This window comes from Homo sapiens, chromosome 4, assembly GCF_000001405.40.
Source record: "Homo sapiens chromosome 4, GRCh38.p14 Primary Assembly".
Taxonomy (NCBI): Eukaryota; Metazoa; Chordata; class Mammalia; order Primates; family Hominidae; genus Homo; species Homo sapiens.
Genome location: NC_000004.12, coordinates 27,977,100 through 28,004,733, shown reverse-complemented (window position 1 = coordinate 28,004,733; position 27,634 = coordinate 27,977,100). Strand labels below are relative to the sequence as shown.

The window sequence follows — 27,634 nt, the reverse complement described above, 5'->3', positions numbered from 1 at the left end:
AGTCTAAGGGCCTTTGATGACTTGATTCAGATTTTAATCTGCTGTTCTTCCCTTTGTTCTGTAGGAGATTATTTATTCCTACATGCTCCAGAATGTACAGGATGATGGGTAAAAAATACAGCAGGAAAAATGAAGATAAATTATGGTGTGGGACTTCTAGTGGAAAGCATCTGTTGTTGAAACAGATGAGGTTTATCAATCTAGAGTAATTATCAATGTCTTTTAAAAATCAATGTCAACTCAGCCATTTCTTGTGTCAGAATTTTCCCTAATCAGATTTATTGGTGATGTTAGAGTACACAAAATAATGATTATCTCCTAAATTGAAACAGCCGGAAACGAAAAACCATACCTCTCCACCCTCTGACACAGACATCAGGGGAGAAACTGCTCATTAAAAATCTGGTGAAGTGGATAAAAATTGGTGTTGTTCTCTGAAAGTTAAAAACTCAATGTGGTACACAACTTAGAGACTTTTAATAAAGCACTGTTGAAACCAGCACAGCTGTTGCTTTGAAATGCAACATTATTTTCTGTGTTGTCTTAATGTTAGTCTTTGATAATAAATAAAGAAAACAGCCAATTTAAAACTCAGGGATGTCCTTCGAGAACAGAAAAAGTTGAGTGGCACACTGAGAGCAAATTAGAGGAAAGTAAATGCCATTGTAACACTCCAGATGGTTTAGAGAACTTTCTCAATAGATCTGTGTAATTCCCACTGGGAACAGGGGCTGAGCTGGCCCAAAATTTTGCCAAAGGAACTGGGCACACATTTACTTCTTAAAACCATTATATTCTATGTTCTAATTGTATTCAAAACTTTTGAATGTAGAAGAAGAAAGATTTTATTCACTAACTAAATTCTGTATATAGGATAACAGAGTCAAACTGTGGTATAGATTTTACTTGTATATTGGCACATAGGCTGCCCATAGACTCAGACAAAATAACCCCACTCTGGCCCTATTTTAGCCATGCTCCTACTTACCACACAGTTAGCAGGCCATGGAACAAAGGGTCCTTGCTCACTCAGAGCCTTTATGCACCCCATCCCTAAACCTTTCTTGTTCTAAATGCCCAGGATCTTGCATGTCTGGTTTAAATAGCCTTAAGCCTCCTTCCAGTAATTCAGTGGGCATTATCTCAAGCTCCCTTCCCCCAAAGGCACACCATGAACGTGGTAACCTCATGGATAGCAAGAGTGGCCAGGGGATGGTTGTTTCTCTGAGGCTGTGACAGAAACTTGGAATGTGGGTCAAAGTGTGTAACTGCAGAAATTGGGAGTAGGAAGAGAAGATAGGTGGAATCTTAAGCCAGGAGGTGCAAACCAGCGGTCCTTGCATCACCATTTCTGAGTGGCGATCTGTCTACACTTGTGCTCAGTTTCAAGACTTCTACTGACATATTTGTCAGGGTAAAAAGATAAAACATATTTTTAATAACTAATCTTGGTTTATAATGTTAAAAAATTCTGACTTATGTTATATGGGCCCCAGGTATTCTCTAGACCTCACAGAGGTTAATACACTTCCATTTTAAAGACAATTTTCTTCATCATTAATAGGGTCGTTTAAGTTGAATCTTATTTTTAAACATGGAGAATTTTATTTTTTTCTACTAAGTAACATTAACATTTCTGGAGGTGAATTGTGTCAGGAAACTTTGCCATGGAATCCATCAGTTTGTCCCCTCTCAGTGCTTAATGTTTTTCTCTCTCTGATGTATCACTGTCTCTTGCACAGGTTCTTTATCAACTAAGGAATTAGTACGTCTTGATAACTTGTCTAGTTCTGGTCTTCATTATTTTAGTCCTCTCTCTAAAATAAAAGAAGAAGAAGGAAGAAAAGGGTGGGAAAACAGAAGGAAAAGAAAAGGAGGAAAGGCAAGAGGAGAAAAAGTGAAAGAAGCAGTTATCTCTGTAATGACATGAACAACTACTTCTGTCTACTTCTAGCTCAAACTGCTAATATATTACATTAATAACAACCATATATTAAACCTTAACTAGATGTCTCGGCTTGGATGTATCAATGTTATTGTAACATATATATTTATTTGTTGAGTACTTAATACATTCAGGACTCTGGGCTACATCCTACAGAGATGAGTTAAAAATAATATGTATGGAGTGAGTGAGAAGACGGCAGATAGGAGGCAGGACTAGCTTGCAGCTCCTGCTCAGATGGACAGAGCAGCAAGTGGAGACTCACATCATGAACTTTTGCTCCAAGTACTACCTTAGGATCATACAAGGAAAGCCAAGAAAATCCACAGACCCTTTGAAGGAACTAGGCTCCCTGAGACACCAAAAAACTGTGAGTTGGTTTGCTTTCTCAATGGGGAGGCTTATAGTCTGGGGCAAGTACTCAGGCCTGGTCACTGGCTGACTGGAAATAGATTCAGTGCTGTTGAAACGAGGGGCACGGTGGGAGTCAGACCAGCCTGTAGGATGGTGGGCTGTGTGGGAGCAGGGTAAGCCCTGTGACTGTGGCTTTCTCCCACTTCTCTGGTGACCTGTGTGACTCAGCAGAGACAGCCATACTGCCCCTGGCAATATAACTGCATTGGACTGGGAACCACACCCCCATCTCCCACAGGAGCTGCAGAAAGCCCCACTCAAAAAGAGGCTGAGCTCAGCCATGCCCATCCCAGCACCCATTCGGTGGTCTTTCTCTACCCACCCTGGTAGCTGAAGACAAAGGTCGTAATCTCTTGAGGGTTCTATGGCCCTGTCAACCGCCTGAGAAACCTGAATACTTAACCAGGTTTCCCTAGGGCAAATTTGCATCTTCCCTGTAGGACCATAGCTGATGAGGTCTTAAAAGCGCCACCTCCTGGCTGAGGCCAACCAACACAAAACCAGCACATTAAACAAAAACACAATCAAGGACCCTCACAGAGTCCACTTCATTCCTCTGCTATCTCCATGGGAGCTGGTGCTGGTGGAAGACCTGAAGATGGATCATATCATAGGACTCTTTGCAGACACTCCCCAGTACCAGCTTGGAGCCTGGTAGCTCCACTGGGTGGCTAGACCCAGAAAGATAAAAACAATAACTACAGTTTGGCTTCCAGGGAACCCCATTCCTAGAGGAAGGGGGAGAATATCACATCAAGGGAGCACAACATGGGACAAAAGAATCTGAACAGGAGCCCTTGAATCCCATATCTTCCCTCTGATGTAGTCTACCCAAATAAGAAAGAACCAGAAAAACAATTCTGGTAATGTGACAAAACAAGGTTATTATACAAGCCTACCAGCAATGGATCCAAACAAAGAAGGAATCCCTGAATTGTCAGAAAAAGAGCTCAGAAGGTCAATACTTAAGCTAATCAAGGAGGCACCTGAGAAAGGTGAAGTCCAACTTAAAGAAATCAAAAACTGACTTGAAAGAGAAATTCTTCAGTGAAATAGATAGCATAAACAAAAAACAATCACAACTCTGGAAATCAAGGACACACTAAGAGAATTGAAAAATGCACTGCAAGTCTCAGCAATAGAATAAAACAAACAGAGGAAAAAATTTCAGAGCTCAAAGACAAAGCTTTCACATTAATCCAATCCAGAAAAGACAAAAAATAAAAACAATGTGAACGAAGCCTCCAAGAAGTTTGGGATTCTGTTAAATGAACAAACCAAAGAAAAACTGGAGTTCCTGAGGAATAAGATTAATCTAAAAGTTTGGAAAACATATTTGAGGGAATAATTGAGGAAAACTTCTTTGGTCTTGTTAGAGATCTAGGCATTCAAATATAAGAAGCTCAAAGAACACCTGAGAAATTCATCACAAAAAGATCATTGCCTAGGCACATAATCATCAGGTTACCTAAAGTCAAGATGAAGGAAAGAATCTTAAGAGCTGTGAGACAAAAGCATTAGGTAATCTATAAAGGAAAACCTGTCAGATTAACAGCAGATGTCTCAGCAGAAACCCTCCAAACCAGAAAAGATTAGGGTCCTATTTTTAGCCTCCTTAAACAAAACAATTATCAGCCAATAATTTTGTATCCAGCAGAACTGAGCTTCATAAATGAAGGAAAGATACAGTCTTTTCCAGACAAACAAATGCTAAGAGAATCTGCCACTACCAAGCCAGCACTGTGAGAGCTATTAAAAAGAGTTCTAATTCTTGAAACAAATTCTAAAGATACACCAAAATAGAACTTCCTTAAAGCATAAATCTCAGTGGACCTATATAGCAAGAAAACAATTAATTTTTTTTTTAAAAAACAAGGTATTTAGGCAACAAATAACATGATGAATAGACTAATACCTCACATCTCAATACTAACATTGAATGTAAATGGCCTAAATATTTCACTTAAAAGATACAGAATGGCAAAATGGATAAGAATTCACCAACCAAGTTTCTGCTGTCTTCAGGAGATTCACCTAACACATAAGGACTCACATATACTTAAGGTAAATTGGTGGAAAAAGGTATTCCATGCAAACAGACACCAAAAGTGAGCAGGAGTAGCTATTCGTCTATGAGACATAACAAATTTTAAAGCAGCAGCTGTTAAAAAAGACAAAGAGGAATATTATATAATGATAAAATGACTAACAGTAAAATTCTACAATTCTAAATATATATGCACCTAATACTGGAGCTCCAAAATTTATAAAACAATTATTACTGGACCTAGGAAATGAGATAGATGGCAACACAATAATAGTTGGGGACTTTAATACTGCAGTGACTGCACTAGACAGCCCATCAAGACAGAAAGTCAACAAAGAAACAATGGACTTAAACTATGCCGCTCAACAAGTAGACTTAGCAGATATTTACAGAACATTCTCCCCAACAACTGCAGAATATACATTCTATTCATCAGCGCATAGGACATCCTCCAAGATAGACTTTTTGATAGGCTGCAAAACAAGTCTCAGTAAATTCAAGAAAATCGAAATTATGTCAAGTATTTTCTCAGACCACAGTGGAATAAAATTGGAAATCAGCTCCAAAAGGAACCCTGAAAACCATGCAAATACATGGAAATTAAATAACCTGCTCTTGAATGATCAATGGATCAACAATGAAATCAAGATGAAAATTTAAAAATTCTTTGAACTGAATGACAATAGTGACACAACCTATCAAAACCTCTGGGATTCAGCAACAATGGAGCTAAGAGGAAAGTTCATAGCATAAAATGCCTACATCAAAAAGTCTGAAAGACCACAGACAGACAATCTAAGGTCACACCTCATGGAACTGCAGAAACAAGAACAGTCCAAATCCCAACTCCATAGAAGAAAAGAAATAACAAAGACCTAAACACAACTAAATGGAATTGAAATAAACAAATAAAAAAGATAATTGAAGCAAAAAGTTGGTTCTTTGAAAAGATAAATAAAATCGATAGAACAATAGCAAGATTAACAAAGGGAAAAAGAAGAGAAGATCCAAATAAGCTCATTTACAAATGAAATGGGTGATATTACAGCTAAAACAACAGAAATACAAAAGAGTATTCAAGTCTACTATAAACAATCTTACATGTATAAACCAGAAGGCCTAGAGGAGATGGATAAATTCCTGGAAATATAAAATCCTCCTAGATTAAGCCAGGAAAATATAGAATATCTGAACAGATCAATAACAAACCTTGAGATTGAAATGGTAATAAAAAAATTGCCAATGAAATAATGTCCAGGACTAGAAAGATTCACAGCTGAATTCTATCCAGCATTCAAAGAAAAATTGTCACCAATCCTATTGATACTATGTCAAAAGATAGCAAAAGAGGGAATCCTTCTTAAATCATTCTGTGAAGCCAGTATCACCCTAGTACCAAAACCAGGGAAGGACATAACAAAAAAAGGAAGCTACAAACCAATATCCCTAATGAAGATAGATGTAAAAATCCTCAACAAAATGCTAGTGAAACAAATCCAATAGCATATCAATGATTGTCCACCATGATCAAGTGGGTTTCATACTAGGGATGAATGGATGTTAACATACACAAGTCAATAAATGTGATACACCATATAAACAGAATTAAAAATAAAAATCACATGATCATCTCAATAAATACAGAAAAAGCATTTGACAAAACCCAGCATCCCTTTATGATTAAAATCCTCAGCAAAATCAGCATAGAAGAAACACACCTTAAGGTAATAAAAGCCATCCATGACAAACTCACTGCCAACAATATACTTAATGGGGAAAAATTGAAAGCTTTCCCCCTGAGAACTGGAACAAGTCAAGGATGCCTTCTTTCACCACTTCTATTCATTGTAGTACTAGAAGTCCTAGCCAGAGAAATCAGATAAGAGAAAGAAAGAAAAAGCATTCAAATCATTAAAGAGGAAGTCAAACTGTCGCTGTTTGCTGATTATATAATTATAAACATAGAAAACCCAAAAGACTCATCGAAAAAGGTACTAGAACTGATAAATGAATTCAGCAAAGTTGCAGGATACAAAACTTATGTACATAAATCAGTAGCTCTGCTGTACATCAACAGCGACCAAGCTGAGAATCAAATCAAGAAATCAACCTCTTTCACAATAGCTGCAGAAAAAACAAAACAAACAAACAAAAAATCTTTAGGAACATACCTAACTAAGGATGTAAAAGACCTCTACAAGGAAAACTACAAAACAGTGCTGAAAGAAATCACAGACAACACAAACAAATGGAAATACATCCCATGCTCATGGATGGACAAAATCAATATTGTGAAAATGATCATACTGCCAAAGGAATCCACAAATTCAGTGCAGTTCCAATTGAAATACCACCATCATTCTTCACAGAACTAGGAAAAAGAACTAAAATTCATATGGAACCAAAAAAAGAGCCCAGATAGCCATAGCAAGACTAAGCAAAAGGAACAAATTTGGAGACATCGCATTGCCCAACTTCAAACTATACTATAAATCCATAGTCACCCAAACAGCACAATACTGGCATAAAAATTGGCACATAAACCAATGAAATGGAATAGAGAACCCCAAAATAATGCCACTTACTTACAGCTAGCTGATCTTTGACAAGGCAAACAAAAACACAAAGTGAGGGAAGGACACCCTATTCAAAAAATGGTGATGGGATAATTGGCTAGCCACACGTAGGAGAATGAAACTGGATCTTCGTCTCTCACCTTATACAAAAATTAACTCAAAGTGGATCAAAGACTTAAATCTAAGACCTGAAACCATGAAGATTCTAGAAGATAACATTGGAAAAACCCTTCTAGACACTGGCTTAGGCAAAGACTTCATGATCAAGAACCCAAAGCAAATGCAACAAAAACAAAGATAAATAGATGGGAGCTAATTAAACTAAAAAACTTTTGCACAGTAAAAGAAATAATCAGCAGAGTTAACAGACAACCCACAGAGTGGGAGAAAATCTTCACAATCTATACATTTGACAAAGGACTAATATCCAGAATCTACAAGGAACTCAAATCAGCAAGAAAAAGCAATCAATCCCATCAAAAAGTGGCCTAAATACATGAATAGACAATTCTCAAAAGAAGATATACAAATGGCCAACAAGAACATGGAAATATGTTCAAGATCACTAATTATCAGGGAAATGCAAGTCAAAACCACAATGCAATACCACCTCACCCCTGCAAGAATTGCCGTAATCAAAAAGTTAAAAAAAAATAGATGTGTTGATGTGGCGAAAAGGGAACACTTTTACACTGTTGGTGAAAATGTAAACTAGTATGAACACTATGGAAAACAGGGTGTGGAGATTCCTATAAGAATTAAAAAAAGATCTACCTTTTCATCCAGCAATCTTACTACTAGGTATCTACCCAGAGTGAAATAAGTCATTATACAAAAAAGATACTTGCCATGCATGTTTATAGCAGCACAAATTGCAGTTGCAAAAATATGGAACCAGCCCAAACGCCCATCAATCAACAAATGGATAAAGATATATACACCATGGAATACTGCTCAGCCATAAAAAGGAATGTAATAATGGCATTCACAGAAACCAAGATGGAATTGGAGACTATTGTTCTAAGTGAAGTAACTTAGGAATGGAAAACCAAACATCATGTGTTCTCACTTATAAGTAGGAGCTAAGTTATGAGGATGCAAAGGCATAAAAATGATACATTGGAATTTGGGAACTAAGAGGAAAATGTGGGGGGTGGTGAGGGGTAAAAGACTACACATTGGGTACAGTGTACACTGCTTGGGTGATGGGTGCACCATAATCTCAGAAATCACCACTAAAGTACTTGTTCATGTAAGTAAACACCACCTGCTTCCCAAAAACCTATTGAAATAAAAAATAATAATAATATATATGCTTTAATAACAAGTGATTTCATCCACTTCTCTATTTCATGACAACTCTCATCATTAACTTTCCTATTTTTGTTTTATAACCCCAACATATGATGCTTCTTCTTCCCTTACATCTATTCCAAACAAATGCTAAAGTCTATTTCATTTTGCACTTATTTTAAACATTAGTGGATTTTTCTTCCTCTTTATCCAAAATGCTACCTTAACAACATGGTGATTAAAATTGCATCTTATTTCTTCCCATATATGCAATCAATATGCTGATTAACATTTTATACTTTTGGGTTGTACATTTAAGTCTTTAATCCGTCCTGAGTTAATTTTTATATGTGATGAAAGGAAGGGTCATTTCAATCTTCTGCACATTGCTAGCCAGTTTATCTCAGCATCATTTAGTGAATATGGAGTCCTTTTCCTATTGCTTGTTTTTGTCAAGTTTGTTGAAAATCAGATCGTGATCTACATGGTTACTGCAGCCATGTAGTACAGTTTGAAGTTGATTAGCATGATGCCTCCAGTTTTGTTCTTTTTGCTTAGTATTGCTTTGGCTATTTGAGCTCTTTTTTGGTTCCATATTAATTTTAAAATGGTTTTTTTCTAGTTCTGTGAGGAATGTCAGTGGTAGTTTAAAAATAATAGCGTTGAATCTATAATTTTCTTTGGGCAGTATGGCCATTATAACAATATGGATTCTTCCTATCCATGAGCCATTCAGGATATAGGCATGGAAAAATATTTCATGACAAAAATGCCAAAAGCAATTGCAACAAAAGCATCCCCATTAAAAAGTGTGCAATGAATATGCACAGACATTTCTTAAGAGAAGACCTAAACACAGCCAACAATCATACGAAAAAAAGATCAACATCACTGATCATTAGGGAAATGCAAATCAAAACCATCATGAGCTAATATCTCTCAGAAGTCAGAAAGGCTATTAAAAAGTCAAAAAATACAAATGCTGGAGGGGTTGTGGAGATAAAGGAACAATTATACACTATTGGTAGGAGTGTAAATTAGTTCAGCCATTTGAAAGTGTGATGATTCCTCAAAGACCTAAAGACAGAAGTACCATTCAATCCAGCAATCCCATTACTGGGTACATACCTGAAGGAATATAAATTGTTGTATTATAAAGACACATGCACACGTATGTTCATTGCAGCACTATTCACAATAGCAAAGACATAGAATCAACATAAGTGTCCACCAATGATAGGCTGGATAAAGAAAATGTGGTACATATATATGATGGAATACTATGTAGCCATAAAAAAGAACAAGATTATGTCATTTGCAGGGACATGGATGGAGCTGGAGGCCATTATCCTTTGCAAGCTAATGCAGGGACAGAAAACCAAATACCATATGTTCTCACTTACAAGTGGGAGCTAAATGATGAGAACACGTGGACACATAGAGGGGAACAATACACACTAGGATATTTTGGAGAATGGGACGAGGAGAGGATTAGGAAAAATAACTCATGAATACTAGGTCTAATACCTCAGTGATGAAATAATCTGTACAACAAACCCCCATGACAAAAGTTTACTTATGTAACAAACCTGCACATGTACCCCTGAACTTAAAAGTTAAAAAAAGTATCGATCAGCAGCTATTTTGCTAGTATTGAATAAAATCTGTGTTTGCTAGCATTGAATGTTATAATTCCTAAACCTTTGACTTAGAATGGTATTTTCTTCTACAATGGCTTGCATTGTGTAAATTGGCACTGGTAAATTACGAAGTTAAATAAATAAAGGTATTCATAACACATTATACATTATAACACATTATATATCAATTTAGTGGTCTAATCTGAAATAGCCCTCATCACTAACACTAAGGTTACATTATATTTGTCATTTCTACATTCATTAAAATAATAAGATTATTGATCAGAAAATTCTGATATATTACTAAAACATGAAAAGACATATTTCGTATTACTTCTTGTGTTGCGTGTTGTGTATTCTAGCTAAAGTCTAATGTCCAGTAACCAAGAGGCATGGAAGAAAAGTGATCTCTAAATAGATTGTGTTATGAGTTGAATTGTGTCTCACCTAACTATATGTTGAAGCCCAAACCCTCAATATTCCAGAATGTGACTGTATTTGGAGATAAGATTTTTAAAGGGGTGATTAAATTAAAGTTAAGTTGAAAGGGTGGGCCCCTAATTCAATCTGATTTGTGTACTTAAAAAAGGGAAAATTTAGGCAAACAAAGAGATACTGGGGTATGTATGCACAGAGAGAAGGACGATGTCAGGCCATAAGAAAGCACCCATCTGCAAGTCAAAGAGAGAGGCCTCAGAGGAAACCATATGTTCCAGACCTTGATATTGGACTTTTAGCCTCCAGTACTATGAGAAAATAAATTTGTGCTGTTTAAGAAAAAAAAAAAACCTAACATTTTATAAAATGTCATTTTCAAACAGACTGAAAAAAATATTTATTATTCCTTAGTACCCATTCCTGCCTGACCTTAATTGTCCTCATCCAAAGACAGGCATGCTCACCATAGGCAGACTCATCAGTGGCTTACTTATATTTGTATTTGTAACTTATTTTTTTGCCAGACAGTTCATAGTTAACTATACTTTCTGTCTAAATGCTCTTTTTTAGGTAAATTTGATTTTTTTTTAATTTTTTGTCTATTCTTATCCTACCAACGTTACTATCATCAGAGGATGGGTGAAACATATTGGAATCATACTACCTGGGAGATTGTAGAGATCATGTTTAGGCTTTAGAACCTGGTTTGATTCCTGAGCCCTCATGTACTCATCATGCTTACCTGGCCCTGCTCTTGCCCTTTTCTGAAAAACCGGAATTCTGGATTGCTGAATTTTCTGATGTACTAGTTGTTTCGCACACCTGGTTTCACTGCATAAAATGCAAATCACTTCGCTGCACTTATGACATTCTTTGTCACAGTTTGGGCCCTCTGGAAACAGAAGTTGTTAGGGGTGCAAGATGTTTATTAGAGATCAACATCTATAAAAGGTAGAAAAAGAAAACAAAATTTGTAAGATCAAGAAATCAAAATTCTTTGCAGCATCAACAAATCATTAATCAACCCAGTGGGAAGTTCTAGTATTGCCCATCAGAGCTGTCTCACAGTACAGTGAAATGGTTAAACTTCTGTTACATCTGCTTCACTCTGTTGCCTGATGTGGATTGCTCTGAGAGGTACTACCTATATTAAGACAAATGGTGTGACACTTACATCATCTTGAAAGATGAGAAAGAAATTGTCAGATGGGAAAAGATTTGTAGAATATAAAAACAATTTATATAAACATGACATTGAAAAGTATGACATAATTGTATATTAGAACATGGCTTAATATTGGTGATATAAAATGCATAAAAATGAAATGTGGTAAAGAAGGTCAAATAGTGAACAGAAGCTAAACCTGGAGACATACATTTTACTAATCTCTATGTGTTAGACACCGTTTTATGTGCTTCATATGTATTACTTCAGAGAAGTACTGATAGAATGATAATGAGATAACGTAGGCCAATTATTTATTTCTGGACAGGAATATCCCTAAATCTTAATACTTAATATGTATAAAATGTTTGGAGAATCAGGTGAGAAGAGTAAGGAAAAGAGCAGAATGAATACATAGGTCTATCTTTCTCTTCATGAGTTTTGTAACACATACTTGATGATTAAAAAAAAAAAAAAACACCATCTCATACTCAAGAAAATGGACTTTAAAAGGTGGGAAGGTAAAGTTACCCAAACAAAAGTGATGTTTCCACACTTCACTCAAAGTAGTGAAATGCTGATACCAGTAGAATGTTATAAGTCACAAACATATACTATAATACCCAGAGCAACAAATATAGAAAATTTCAAAGACATGCGCTCAGAAACATTATAAATAAATCAAGATGGAATATTTAAAGTATTCAAGTTAAACCACAGGAAGGCAAGAAACAAGAAACAGTGAAATATGAACCAGAGGACTGAAATAGTAAGCAAAAATGATCAAATGGCATACTCGAGTACTAACACATCACTTACCTTAAATGTAAATGATCTAAATATTCCAGTTAAAAGTCAGAGATTATGAAAATTAATAACAGAAAAGGGGAGGGGACAATTATGTGTTGCTAAAAAGAAATAAGTTTCAAATTTAATAATATAAGCAGGTTGAAAGCAAGGATGGGAAAAACATACCATGAAAACATGAATCCAGAAATAGTAGGAGTGGTGATATTTAATATCTGATGAAGTCGAGTACACAGTAAAGAAATGACTAGCAACAAAGAGAGACATTACATAAAGATAAAATAAGCACACCAGGAAGACCTAATGATCCTACATATTTAAACAACTAACAACAGAGCCTCAAAATACGACAATTAAACGAATCAAAATGATGAAAGAAAAGCAGACAAACCAAGTTATGGCTGGGGACTTCAACACCCCTCTCTTAGCAACCAAAGGGGGAAAAAAAAAAAGAAAATCAGCAAGATATGGAAGAACTGAACTACACAATCAACAAGTTGAATCCAACAGACATATGTAGATTCATCCACCTGAAACAGCATAATACACCTTTTTTTTCAAGTACATGTGGACCATTTCCTAAAATAAGTTGTATCTGAACCATAAAACAAACTTCAACAAATTTAAAAGAATTGAAATTATACATATACAGCATGTTCCCTGGTCACAATAGGATCAAAATAAAAGTCAGTAACTTGAAGAAAACAGGAAAATTTCTAAACACGTGGAAATTAAACACACTAAATATTCTGTAGGTAAGAAAATCTCAAAGGAAATAAAAAATACAGAGAAATAAAATGAAATTGAAAACACAACTTATAAAGGCATATGAAATGCAGCCAAATCTGTCCTGAGGAAAAAAATTATAGAACAATCAACTAGAAATTAGAAAAAGAGTCAAATCAATAATCTAGCTTAACATCCAAAGTAGAAAAAGAAGAGTAAAATGAAACCAAATTAAACAGATTAAAGGAATAAACAAGGATAGGGCAGATCAATGTAATTAAAACTGGAAAAGTAATAGAGAAAAACAATGAAACAAAAAGTTATTTCTTCAAAAAATCAATAAAATTGGTAACATTTGAGCAACACTGACTAAACATTGAGAAATAGATAAGACATAAGCATGCAAATTACCAAAATTTGAAATTATACAGGGGATTCACTACAGATACTGCAGTCACTAAAAGAATGATAAGGGGCTACTGTGAATCATTATATATTCCTATAACTATTACAATCATTGTATTTATAATTTTACAAAATACAAATCTTTAACCAAGTGGGTTTCATTGGCAAACTCAATCTAACAATTAATGAAGAGTGGAATAGGAGGGAAGAAATATTTCTCAATTCAGCATATGAAGCTAGGATTACACTGATACCCAAACCAAAGGAGTACAAAAAAATAAAATAAAGCTATAGAAAAATATTTATCAAGAACTGAGACACAACCATTGTTAGCAAAATATTAGTAAATATAATTCAGCAATATATAAATAGAGTTTTAATTTTTGTCTAACTATAAGAGATACAAGTGCAATTTTGTTACATGGATAACATAACCATGCCAGAAATACAAGAATGCTTCAGTATTTAAAAATCAATCTATTTCACATCAATGTCAAAAAGCTAAAGAACAAACATCAATTAATTCAATAAATACATTTAACAAAATTCAATACCTATTATGATAACTATTCTCAGTAAGTTATGATTATAGAGAAATTTCCTCAAATTGATAAGGGCTACCTACAAATATCTGCCAAGTAACACTTTACCTAGTGGTTAAAAAAACGAACATTTTCCCCTAAGATCAAGAACAAGGCAAGTGTGTCTGCTCTTACCACTCTTGTTCACATAATACTGAAAATTCTAACTTCTGCAATAAGGCAAGTCGAGAAAATAGCATACTGATTAGAAAGGAGAAAACAGTCTCTGTTTGCAGATGACATTATTATCTATGCAAAAATCCAAAAGCATGTAAAACAAAATACACAAAAGAAATTTTTAAAATAATAAATGAGCTCAGAAAATTTGCAGAATATAAGGTCAGCACACTAAAATTGATTACATTTCTACTTACTGACAAGGAGCACTTGGAAAATGAAACTAAAACACAAAACCATAAAAAACTACTCTAAGGAAAATGAAATACACAGGTAATGTATTTGCCAAAACATGTATACGATTTTTGTGCTAAAAATTAGAAAATGCTGGTGAATAAAATCAAAGAAAACCTAAGTAAATGGAGAGGCGTAGTGTATTTATGGATGAAAACAAAAAAGACATCAATATTCTTAAAAATGATCTATAGTTTAATATCCCAGGTAGATTAATTTGTAGACCTCCACAAGCTTATTCTAAAATTTACATGCAAAAGCACAGGCCTTAAAGTATTTAAAACTACCTTTACAAAGAAGAATAAAATGAGAGGAATTATTTTATCTTATCTTACAACTTACTAGAGACCTACAGTAATCAAACCATTATAGTATTACCAGAGAAATAAGCACATAGGTCAGTGAGACAGAAGACAGATCCTAGAAATAGACCCACAGGAATGTGCCCAATTGACTTTTGACACAAGTGCAAAAGAAATTCAAATAAGGAAGAATAGATTTTTCATCATATGATGCCAAGGTAATTGGACATCCATAAACAAAAAACCTTGACGTTAACCTTTACTTACACATCAAACTTTATATGAAAATCAACTCGAAATTGATCATAATATTGAATTTAAAATGCGTAAGTATAAAGTGTTAGAAAAATCATAGGAGACAATCTTTAGAACCTAGCGTTAGGCAAAGGGTTGTGAGAATTGACACCAAAGACACAGTCCATAAAAAATTCATAAATTGAATCTCATCAAAAATAAAATTTGCTATGTAAAAGCCCATACAAAGAGGATGAAAAGACAACTACACACAGGGAGAAAATATTTGGAAAATACTTATTTATCACAGGATATATCTAGAATATACAAAGAACTTTTAAAACTCAAGAGTAAATATATCAATTAACCAAAATAACAAATGAGGGGGCAAAGAACATGAACAGACATTTACTATATACTAAAGACAATATACAGATGTCAAAAATAAGCACATGAAAATATGTTGGAAATCATTAGCCATTAGGAAAGTGCAAATTAAAGACACAATGAGGTATCCCTACCTACCAGCAGAATAACAGCAACAACAAAAGTGTGGCAGTAATACATTATGGCAGGGATCTGCACAAACTAAGTCATTCATGCAATGCTGATGGGAATGGAAAACGTTATAGCCATTCTGAGAGAAAACAAAATCTGTCAGCAGTTTATTAATAAAAAAGAAAGAAACGAGGCAAGGGAGGAAGAAAGGGGAAAAAAGGAAATGGAAGGGAAGGGGAAGGGAGGGGAGGGGAGGGAAGGGGAGGGGAAAGGAGGGGAGGGGTGGGGAGAGGAGGGGAAGGGAAAAGAAAAGAAAGGAAAGAAAAGGAGAGGAGAGGAGAGGGGAGCGGAGGGGAGGAGAAGGTAAGGGGAGGGAAAGGAAGGTGAGGGAAGATAAAGGAAGAGGGGGAAGGAAAAAGAAAAGGAAAAGTGATTATCATTAGCATTTATGCTAGAGAAATCAAAATATTTTTAATACATATATCTGTACACTATTCAAAGAAGTTGCATTTATAATGGCCCAAATCTGGCATCAGTCCAGATATTCTTCAAATGATGAATGATAAAAATTCTGAAGTAGGTGCATATCTTGCACCAACTCACAATAAAAATGGTCAAATATTTCATACACACAATTTGGAAGGGCTGGATAGAGGTGGATGTGATTATGAAAGGACAAAAGGAAGGGTCTCATGGCAATGGAACTATTCGATATCTTGACCATAGTAGCACATGCTTGAACCGACACATTTAATAAAGTTGTATAGAACTAAATGCATACATATGAGTACAAGAAAGTAAGGAAATATGAATACGTTGAAGGATTTTGTGGATGAAAATACCCTCGTTGTGGAATTACATCATAGTTTTACAAAATGTATATAGGTAAAATACATGTAGGATTTCTCTGTGTTATTTCTTATTAGATTATCTCAATACAACTTTCAATTAAAAATGCTCATAAGTTATTGTTATTATTATTATTTGAGATGGAGTCTCACTCTGCTGTCTAGGCTGGAGTACAGTGGCGCAATCTTGGCTCACTGCAACCTCCTCCTCCTGGGTTCAAGCGATTCTCCTACCTCAGCCTCCTGAGTAGCTGGGATTACAGGCACACACTATCATACACGGCTATTTTTTATTAGTAGTAGTAGTAGTAGTAGATAGAGACAGGGTTTCACTATGTTGGCCAGGCTGGTCTCTAACTCCTGACCTCAAGTTGTCCAGCCACCTCAGCCTCCCAAAATGCTAGGATTAAATTCCTGAGCCACCACACCCGGCCTGATTATAAGCTTTTAAGATGACTTCTGTGAACATTTTTGTTACCATGTATCTGACTCTGAAGGGGTAGGAAGTATATGGAGGAATATAAAATTGGGAGAAAAGTACATTATTTCTCAACCTGTGGAAAACTAAACGAAGTAAATTTAAAATGAGGAGAGTGGCTATAAAATCAAGAGATGAACAAACTCCCACAACACAAGTTTACCTATGTAACAAACCTGCACATGTATCCCTCAACTTAAAATAAAAGTTAAAATAAATAAACAAATGAATTCATGAGATGGGCTTCCAGACGATCATGTAAGACCACTACTTGTGAGGTTTTCCAGGAGAGTCTAGAGAACTCCATCTCCTAAATAGTTAAACTGGTTTTTCTTAACAGGTATGACATTTAATACTAAAAATGCAGATATTAATAGATGTTAAGAGAAAAATATTTTCATTGCAAAATTGGAATGCTGAATTAATAAAAAAATTAAACACTTCTTTAGGAATTTACAGGGACTAAATGTTAATTTTCATTTTTAAGTCTCTATGAAGGGGAGATAAAATATAAATCCTAAACAACTTCAGTGTGTATGTGTGCATTTAAAGCACCTTTTAGTCCTAACATTCTTTGGAGTATATTTTTGCAAGGACTGGTTCAAACCAGAGTTGATCCATGCAGTTTCTAAGGTAATGTTTACTATTATACTTCAATTGTCCAAGAAACTCTCTATACCTCTTAGCAGATACATGAAGTATTTGTGGTTGTTTTTTTGTTTGTTTGTTTTATAAAGGTCTAGAGAAAAAATACTTTTTTCTCAATTATAAAAGGCTTATACAGGAAATATATTAAGTATATTTTAATTTATTTTTCCCTCAGTAAATAGATATTGCCGTCAGTTGGCTTTTTAAATATGGTAATATGTAGGTCACCAATTAAATTCAAATATAATCTTATTTTTGTATAATCAAAATAAGGAAATTCATAGTGTTTCATATATGAGATATTATTTTTCTACTTCTACATGCTCTTATATTTTGACTTAAATTTCATAATTTATGATATGAAAATGCCTTTGTGATCTGGAGCAATTCACTAAAACCATGATTCCCTAAAGTCATCTTGTTCCAAACACATTGTTATTTATTCTCATTTCACTGCAGTGATTTGACTTAGCATAATGCTGATCTGACTCTATTTTTGACTCTGAATTTTGTTGTGGGCATGTGTCAGCTTATTCCTGAAGTGGTTATACATAAGCCCCTCTCAAATATTCACTGTCCTATTTTGTGGTTTCTTTTTAGACAAGGCTTCCATTGAGAGCAATGGCCCTGACTTAGCGCTTTAGTGTCTCACCAATCAGGATGCAAGTTACATTTCTGGTGGAATTAACTGTTCAAGCAAACATATTCCCATGAAGAAAGCAAAGCTGAAGGTTCATTAATATTCAGGCCCACTGCAGATGAGAGGCTTCTCTTAAGTAAGCACATTAATCTTATCTTTTCTTATGAGCATGCTTTACCAGTGACCCATGCCAAGTGCCTTCATGTGGCTGTCTCCATTTTAGCACTCAAAAATTGCAATGTGGAGATAAAGTTGTTTTTTTCCCCCTAAAATCAAGTTCTCTGGATTTCTTCTTTATCCTGACCATTTAATTATTATTCCTACAGAAGTTAACACTATTGCTATGACACAGAACTTAGGGACAAGTGTGTAACTTGTGTACAATGTTGAAGTTTATCTTTCTTCCCAAATAACTATTAAATATCATTAGGCTTCATGAAAAATAGTCACAGGATTTCTTATTTTGGAAGTTGCCATCTACAATGGTTTATAAAAAATGCCAAGGAAAGATTCTATTATTAAGCTACACTATTTTATTTCTTCCCTTCTATTAATCCCTTATTCTCCTCCCCTCAATATCTACTAGGTTTTTTTCTCCTCTAAAAATCATAATCAATATTAACAAATCAGATATTATTTGAATGTTTATTTCTCTATCAGGTAAAAATGGCCAGGTGAACTCTCACCTAATTCTCATGGTATGCTTGGAGAAATCTAAGTTAAATAGATTCTTACAGTATGTGCAAAATTCACTTCAAGATTTCCTGGACAACACCTCTAAGTGTAGGTCATTGTCATCTGGACGGAAACTGCGCTAAAATGTGAAGCTATGTGGCTTTGTAAATTGAAGTGGGCCACACATCAAAGTTACCACAAAGAAAGTACGACCTTAAATATGAAAGTCAAACTGAAAGTCACAACAGCAGATATGCTAAATTCCAGGCATTGATTTGACAATCAGTTGGTTTTTTTTTTTTTCCAGGTGAGTAACTCCGTGTTAATTGTTTCAGATTGAGTACCAATTCTACAGAAGCTTTTGTGCACCTGTCACTTCTATTGGGTTCCTAGTGTTTACAACATAGTTCTACACTTTGATTTTACTTCACTTTCATAATTCTCCTTGAGCAGTATGTGTACTATTTCCCTTATGTTAAAATTGAAGATATTTAAATTTTAAATTAAATTTTAATTTAAATGTTTTGTCACATACCTCGTCAAATCAGAGAGGTAACCTAGCAACCATGCCTCACCCATAGTTTGTGTTCAATATTTTTTTTTTTGCTTCTCATTCCTGATTTCTGATAAGTATAAATGTCATGATGTTTTCCTCTGTAAATCTGCTTTCCCTGTCTCATCATTTCAACTGGGGGAGTTCAGTTGTATTTTAGAATTTGAGATAGACTGCAGTTCCAAGATAGAAAATACTGGAATACCTTTATGTTTAGAAACACCTGATGAAATAGAAGGGTGGCCTATGAAACACTGATTCGATGAGAAAGACCAAGGACTTCAATGTAAAGTGGAAAATTAGAAGGATATCACAATTGTAAGCAAACTGGAAACGTCTAGGAAGAATACAGAAGCATTTAATGCAAGAGATAAGTTAACAGACCAGCTAAGAAAATGAAATTATGATTTAAATATGCTGGTCATTTCCCTGTCGTTTTACAGCTTCAAATTCATCCTTTAATTACATTTGCCATCACTCTGTGATGCTATGGCTGACACTATACAAACCATAGGGTTTTTGTTTGTTTGTTTCGTTTTAACTAGCGGTAACCTCATTAGATTTAGGCAATAGAAGGCAGAGAGGAGACTGAAAAGAAGGCAAAGGCAAGAAGGGATGTTCTCTTGTTTTGTGCTCTGATTCCGGCGAGGTTCCCTATGAGAAGCAACATTTCAGCCCAGCAGCAGCCATTTGCTAAAGCATTGTCATTTGATTTCAGCCTCTAGCATCTTCCAGAACCAAGTACGTATCATCCTCTCAGAGGTACTAACAGCAGCCAGGTGACACTGTTTTCTCTGAGTTTTGAGCCCCAGCTATGTGGGGACCCTCATCTGAGCTTCTAATGTTCACTTAATGCTAATTTCATTCCTTTCTTCTCCAGCCCTAGAGATGAGAGCTAGTTCCTGCAATTATTATCTCTGAGTTACTCAAGGTTCCCTTTATGTATTCAGGTCTCTAATACCTATGTAACAAGTTCCCTGTATTAAATGATCTCTGTTGAAATAAGTAAGATAATTTTTATTTGCCAACTTGGTCCTGGCAAAAATAAGGCGATTCCAAGAAAAAGCAATGCAAATATAAAAATTAAATTCTTAAATGTAAATACAATTTTTATTCAGCTGGTATATCACTATTCCTAGCATTGGTGAGTCATGATTTTCCTTATCTCATATTGAGAATTTTTCTTCAGTTTTAAGCAGCTCAGTGAGAGAATTGAAATTTTAAAATTAGGCCAAAACCACGTATTTTGTTATTGATCTTAATATTCTAGTTGAATGTACAGACACAGACAAATATTACCAGGAAATAGACTTTGAACATTTTGAAATGGGGCTTATTTAGGGCTAATAGTGAGTTGACATGTGTGTGCCTGTGTTGGTGTCTCTGTAACTAATTTTTTGTTGTTGTCGTTGTTAAATTATATTTAATCTGAGTAGTATATGTGCATCATAAAAAATACATTTAAAAATATGGAAATTAATGGAAACCATATAGAACATTTAGTCAAAGTTTTTAATCATAATTTGTTGCCATTATTAAAATCATTGCTATATTGATGCTAAAAGTGCACTACACATTTCCAAAAATTGAGTCAAATGCTCTTAGGTAATTAATTTTAGTCATATTCCAAAACATCAAGATTTCAACAATTTAAAAACCATTTGTTGGCATGGAAACATCAGTTTAATTAAAACTGGATTAAACTAATTAACCTAAAACATATTATACTACTGAGTGTTTGATTTAGAGCAATTTGGAAGAAAAAGAACATTTTTCATAATCATTTTAGGTCTTTTATCTAATGGAAGTGTTTAGGTTTCATAATGAACCTACACATGCACTAATGTCTCAAATGACTGCTTTCACTGGAGGAGGATGGTTATGAAGAAGGTTTCCATTAAATGAAATGCCAGTTTTCTTGAGGGAATTCAGAGGGCAGAGCATTTTATGAAAATTGCTTATTGTCTTTGCTTATCCATAGTATCCAGGAGATTTGAGAAGAATAACCTCAGTGTGATCCTTTATTTCATGCCTTATATTTCATCCCAAGAAGCTAAGTTTTGTATTATATGAGGAAAATCACATGATGAACCACAAAAATAAAACATGGATTAGAGTAGGATCACTGAAAAGTTTACAGTAATGATACAGTCATATCTGCATGGCAATGACCAGTATTTCTTACAGCAAAGAAGCCCATAAGTTTGTAGATGATATTCTTTTTCAAATACATTTTAGATTGTCTAAAAGTTTCTAAATCAATGGTTTCATTCTGTTTCTTTTCGTTATTTTTTTACAAATATCGAGTGCTTACCATGTTATAGGCCCAAACTTGAACAATTTAAAAGATCAGTGGAGATGTCCTTGCTTTCTCACATTTGTATTCACATTACCTATTCTCTCTGGGTCTCATTCTCTATCCTCCAAAGATGGAGCTGATTTGCATCCTAGCTCTAAGGCAGTATGGAGGCTTTGCAATGTGTCAGCTTGACTACGGTAAACTACATTTCCCAGAATTATCTTTCCTGAATATTTCCAGTTGTGGTGGCTACATGCATGATTCTTGAGAGATTCGGAAGGCAAAAATGAAGCAGCAGCCATTTGTAACTAGTACACGTTATTGTTGATTTGCTGATTCACTTCGTGAATAGCATTGGACTTACAACTGCTCAACTTTTTGCTGAATTCTCCTTCAGTTTTTCTAACACTGGAACTCGTGTGTGTGTGTGTGTGTGTGTGTGTGTGTGTGTGTGTCAGTGTTTATCACAGTGAGAAAGACCCCTGGCTTCTACAGTATACCCATATCCCAAACACCAGAGGCAAGAAGGACTGACAAGAGTTTCAGTCTCTCCTCCTGGGCTCTTGGTTCGTGTGTGTGTTTCTGCCTTCTCTGTACATTCATCTTACCTTCTTCACTACTTGCCCTGTGGATTTCAAGCCCCAGCATCAGATAGAAAGACAACAGCTTTACAAAGATTGCTTTATTCACTCTAAGAATTCTGCAAAGCCAAATCCCTAACCCCTGATAAATTATATCCTAGCGGTTATGAAGTTATCCTTCTCTGGATAAACCCTGGTGATATAGAAGATATGTAACTCAGGCATAGAAAATAAACAGACCCATTTTGCTAGCCACCGTGGCATGTTGTTTTAGAGATTGGTGCTTAACTCAATTTGGTCATTGCCATTTCAATAACTCATGCGTTAACTAACACTCTTTTAACCTATATACTGAGATTTTCTATCAGTGAAACTAAACAAGTTCTCAAAACTCACTTCATATTTCCCACAATTGGTTGAGGGTGTTATTCTTATGCCCATTTTACTCATAAGGCACATGGTCATTGAGGCCTGGAAAAACCAGTTTATCCAAGGTTATACAACAAGTTCCTATAGGAGACTGATTACAACATAGGTCCATTTTCTTTCAAAGCCAGTTCTATTTTGCATGATTAATTAAATGGAATAGGCAGGCAATTATCATAAAGATTCATTGCTTCTAGAAATCTCCTTTGTAAGTAAAATGACAGCTGTAATTTATGATTTGGGGAAAGTGTTGAGCACCTTTAAAAAAGCAATTGTATTCTACAGCATATTACCTCCTTCTATGACAGGGTGACAGGGTACTGGATTACATTAAGCAATTATTTGCTTGAAGACATGGATTCTGGTCAGATTCTCTAAATCGAGGCTGGTCATTTTTTTTTTCTCTGTATCACAGGATATTTATACTTTCAAGGAAGAAACAGTTTATCTGAATTTTCAACAGATTCAGTGAATTGACCAATTGCCTTTTGGCATAAAACAGAAATACTCTCAGATTCCCATGAGTCTTATTAATAGAATTTGATTAATGCTTTTATTTCTTTAATGTTATGTGAATATTTCATTTCATATTAAAATATCACTTATACATAATTTCTTTACACCAGAGAGTCTGTATACATTTGCATCAAATTGTAAAATCTATGTACCAGTGAAGTAAAGCCCATCCCTCAGAAACTATGGGGAAAAAAAATTAAAATGAAGTGTCATTCACTCGAGTCCGTGTGAAGAGACCACCAGACAGGCTTTGTGTGAGCAACAATGGTGTTTATTTCACCTGGGTGCGGGCAGGCTGAGTCCAAAAAGAGAGTCAGCGAAGGGAGGTAGGGGTGGGGCTGTTTTATGAGATTTGGGTAGGTAAAGGAAAAATTACAGTCAAAGGGGGTCATTCTCTGGCTGGCAGGGGTGGGGGTCACAAGGTGCTCAGTGAGGGAGCTTTTGAGCCAAGATGAGCCAGGAGAAGGAATTTCACAAGGTAATGTCATCAGTTAAGGCAGGAACAGGCCATGTTCACTTCTTTTGTGGTGGAATGTCATCATTAAGGCAGGAACAGGCCATCTGGATGTATACGTGCAGGACACAGGGGATATGATGGCTTAGATTGGGCTCAGAGGCCTGACATTCCTGTCGTCTTATATTAATAAGAAAAATAAAATGAAATAGTGGTAAAGTGTTGGGGCGGTGAAAATTTTTGGGGGTGGTATGGAGAGATAATGGGCGATGTCTCTCAGGGCTGCTTCAGGTGGGATTAGGGGCAGCGTGGGAACCTAGAGTGGGAGAGATTAAGCTGAAGGAAGATTTTGTTGTAACGGGTGATATTGTGGGGTTGTTAGAAGAAACTTTTGTCATATAGAATTATTGGTGATGGCCTGGATATGGTTTTGTATGAATTGAAAAACTAAACGGAATAAGAGAAGGAGAAAAACAGGTATTAAAGGACTAAGAATTGGGAGGACCCAGAACATCCAATTAGAGAGTGCCCAAGGGGGTTCAGCATAATTACTTGCTTGGTTGGTGAGTTTTTAGGCTCTATCCAAGTTTTTGGGGTGCAGTTCAAGTTGGGCTGGTGTCTGGAATGAGACTGGGGCCTAATAAAAAGGAGTGTCCATACAGGAGGTCAAATGGGCTGTAATCTGTAGCATTCCAATGATAGGCCTGAATTCTGAGAAGGGAAAGTGGTAAAAGTATTGTCCAGTCCTTTTTAAGTTGTTGGCTGAGCTTGGTGAGGTGCGTTTTTAAAAAATCATTAGTTCATTGAATACCAAGAGCCTGAGAAACTGCTTGGGTGATTTGACTAATAAAGGCTGGTCCGTTATCAGACTGTATAGAGGTGGGAAGGCCAAACCAAGGAATTATGTCTGACAGAAGGGAAGAAATGACCACGGTGGCCTTCTCAGACCCTGTGGGAAAGGCCTCTACCCATCCAGTGAAAGTGTCTACCTAGACCAAGAGGTATTTTAGTTTTCTGACTCAAGGCATGTGAGTTAAGTCAATTTGCCAGTCCTGGGTGGGGGCAAATCCCCGAGCATGATGTGTAGGGAAGGGAGGGGTCCCGAACAATCCCTAAGGAGTAGTAGAAGAGCAGATGGAACACTGAGAAGTGATTCCCTTGAGGACAAATTTCCAGGATGGAAAGGAAATGAGAGGTTCTAAGAGATAGGCTAGTGGCTTGTAACCTACATGGAAGAGGTTATGAAATGATGACAGAATAGAATGGGCCTGTGAGGCTGGAAGGAGATATTTTTCCTTGTCTAAGAATCATTTGCCTTGTGTGGGAAGAGATTGATAAGTGGAAGTTTTAGTGGGGAAGTAGGTGAGAGTGGCCGGATGAGAAGGAGAAAAACGGCCGTGAGGGACAGAAGTTGGAACGCTAGCTGCTTTTTAGCTACCTTATCAGCATAAGCATTGTCCTGAGTGATAGGATCTGATGCCTTTTGATGGCCCTTGCAGTGAATGACTCCAGCTTCTTTTGGAAGTAAAATGTCTTTGAGAAGAGTTTTTATTAAAAAAGCATTAATGATGGAGGCCCCTTGCATAGTGAGGAAATTTCTTTCTTCCCATATAACAGCATGGTGGTGCAGGATATGGAAGGCACATTTAGAGTCAGTATAGGCAATGAGTTTGGCTTGTTGAGAGGTAGTGGAGCGGGGCAGAGCAGTAGCCTCAATGATAGATGTGGAAGATACTATAGCATAGCCTGCCTTTGCTGGTGAGTGGCAGTTAGGTCTGGTGGAACTGCCATCAATAAACCAAGTGTGTTCAAGGTGAGGAACAGGAAAGAAGGAAATATGGGGAAATGGAGTGAATGTCAAGTGGATCAGAGAGATACAGTCATGGTGGTCAGGTGTGGTATCCGGAATAATGTGGAAGGCCGGATTGAAGTCCAGGACAGGAACAATGGTAACTGTGGGAGACTCAATAAAGAGTGAGTATAGCTGAAGGAGCCAGGGAGCAGAAAGTATATGCATCAGGTGGGAAGAAGAAAATAGATTTTGGAAGTTATGAGAACTGTAGACAGTGAGTTGAGCATAGTTTGTGATTTTGAGGGCCTCTAAAAGTATTAAAGCAGTGGCAGCCACTGCAGGCAGACATGAGGTCTGGGCTAAAACAGTAAGGTCAAGTTGTTTGGACAGAAAGGCTACAGGGCGCTGTCCTGGCTCTCATGTAAGAATTCTGACTGTACTAACAGAGGTGACAGCATGCTGGCAGTCCTAAGAGCCCTCGCCTGCTCTTGGCACCTCCTCTGCCTGGGCTCCCACTTTGGTGGCATTTGAGGAGCACTTCAGTCCCCCACTGCACTGTGGGAGCCCCTTTCTGGGCTGGCCAAGGCCGGAGCCCACTCCTTCAGCTTGCAGGGAGGTGTGCAGGGAGAGGCATGAGTGGGAACCGGGGCTGTGTGCGGCGCTTGCGGGCCAGCTGGAGTTCCGGGTGGGCATGGGCTTGGTGGGCCCCACACTCGGAGCAGCCAGCCAGCCCTGCTGGCGCCGGGCAATGGCGGACTTAGCACCCGGGCCAGTGGCTGCGGAGGGTGTACTGAGTCCCCCAGCAGTGCTGGCCCACCGGCGCTGCGCTCGATTTCTCGCCGGGCCTTAGCTGCCTTCCCACGGGGCAGGGCTCGGGACCTGCAGCCCACCATGCCTGAGCCTCCCACCCACTCCATGGGCTCCTGTGCGGCCCGAGCCTCCCCGACGAGCACCACCCCCTGCTCCACGGCGCCCAGTCCTATCTACCACCCAAGGGCTGAGGAATGAGAGCGCATGGCGCGGGACTGGCAGGCAGCTCCACCTGCAGCCCCAGTGTGGGATCCACTAGGTGAAGCCAGCTGGGCTCCTGAGTCTGGTGGGGACGTGGAGAGTCTTTATATCTAGCTCAGGGATTGTAAATACACCAATCAGCACCCTGTGTTTAGCCCAAGGTTTGTGAATGCACCAATAGACACTCTGTATCTAGCTGCTCTGGTGGGGCCTTGGAGAACCTATGTGTGGAAACTCTGTATCTAACTAATCTGATGGGGACTTGGAGAACCTTTGTATCTAGCTCAGGGATTGTAAACACACCAATCAGCGCCCTGACAAAACAGGCCACTCGGCTCTACCAATCAGCAGGATGTGGGTGGGGCCAGATAAGAGAATAAAAGCAGGCTGCCCGAGCCAGCATTGGCAACCCGCTCGGGTCCCCTTCCACACTGTGGAAGCTTTGTTCTTTCGCTCTTTGCAGTAAATCTTGCTACTGCTCACTCCTTGGGTCCACGCTGCTTTTATGAGCTGTAACACTCACCGCGAAGATCTGCAGCTTCACTCCTGAGCCCAGCAAGACCACGAGCCCACCGGGAGGAACGAACAACTCCAGACGCGCTGCCTTAAGAGCTGTAACACACACCGCGAGGGTCTGCAGCTTCACTCCTGAGCCAGCGAGACCACGAACCCACCAGAAGGAAGAAACTCCGAACACATCTGAACATCAGAAGGGACAGACTCCAGACGCGCCACCTTAAGAGCTGTAACACTCACTGTGAGGGTCCACGGCTTCATTCTTGAAGTCAGTGAGACCAAGAACCCACCAATTCCGGACACATAACCATGCCTAGGAAGGAAAGGAGTTGCTGTTTTGTAGAAGCGATTGGGATTTGGGAGATTAGCTGGATATGATCAGCAGGGAGAGCACGTGTGTTTTCATGAGAATTATGCCAAGGTAGGTAACAGATGAGGAAGAAATTTGGGCTTGACTGAAGTAATGGGGGCTATCTATGAAGCACTGCGGCAGTACAGCCAAGGTAATTTGCTGAGCCTGGTGGGTGTCAGGGTCAGTCCAAGTGAAAGCGAAGAGAGGCTGTGATGAAGGGTACAAAGGAATAGTAAAGAAAGCATGTTTGAGATCCAGAACAGAATAATGGGTTGTGAAGGGTATTGAGGATAAGAGAGTATATGGGTTTGGCACCATGGGGTGGATAGGCAAAACAATTTGGTAGATAAGGCACAGATGCTG

At 37.3% G+C, this 27,634-nt stretch overlaps 1 long non-coding RNA gene across 1 annotated transcript in view; it reads right to left on the bottom strand.

Annotated features, from left to right (window-relative positions):
• Nucleotides 1-1,661: 1,661 nt before the first annotated feature.
• Nucleotides 1,662-27,634, bottom strand: part of LOC105374552 (uncharacterized) — a 71,889-nt gene continuing 45,916 nt past the window's right edge. The window contains exons 2-3 of the long non-coding RNA XR_001741500.1: nucleotides 11,096-11,245; nucleotides 1,662-1,817 (exon numbers count right to left, since the gene is read on the bottom strand). This is a non-coding gene — a long non-coding RNA (uncharacterized LOC105374552). The remainder of the gene's footprint in view (nucleotides 1,818-11,095; nucleotides 11,246-27,634) is intronic.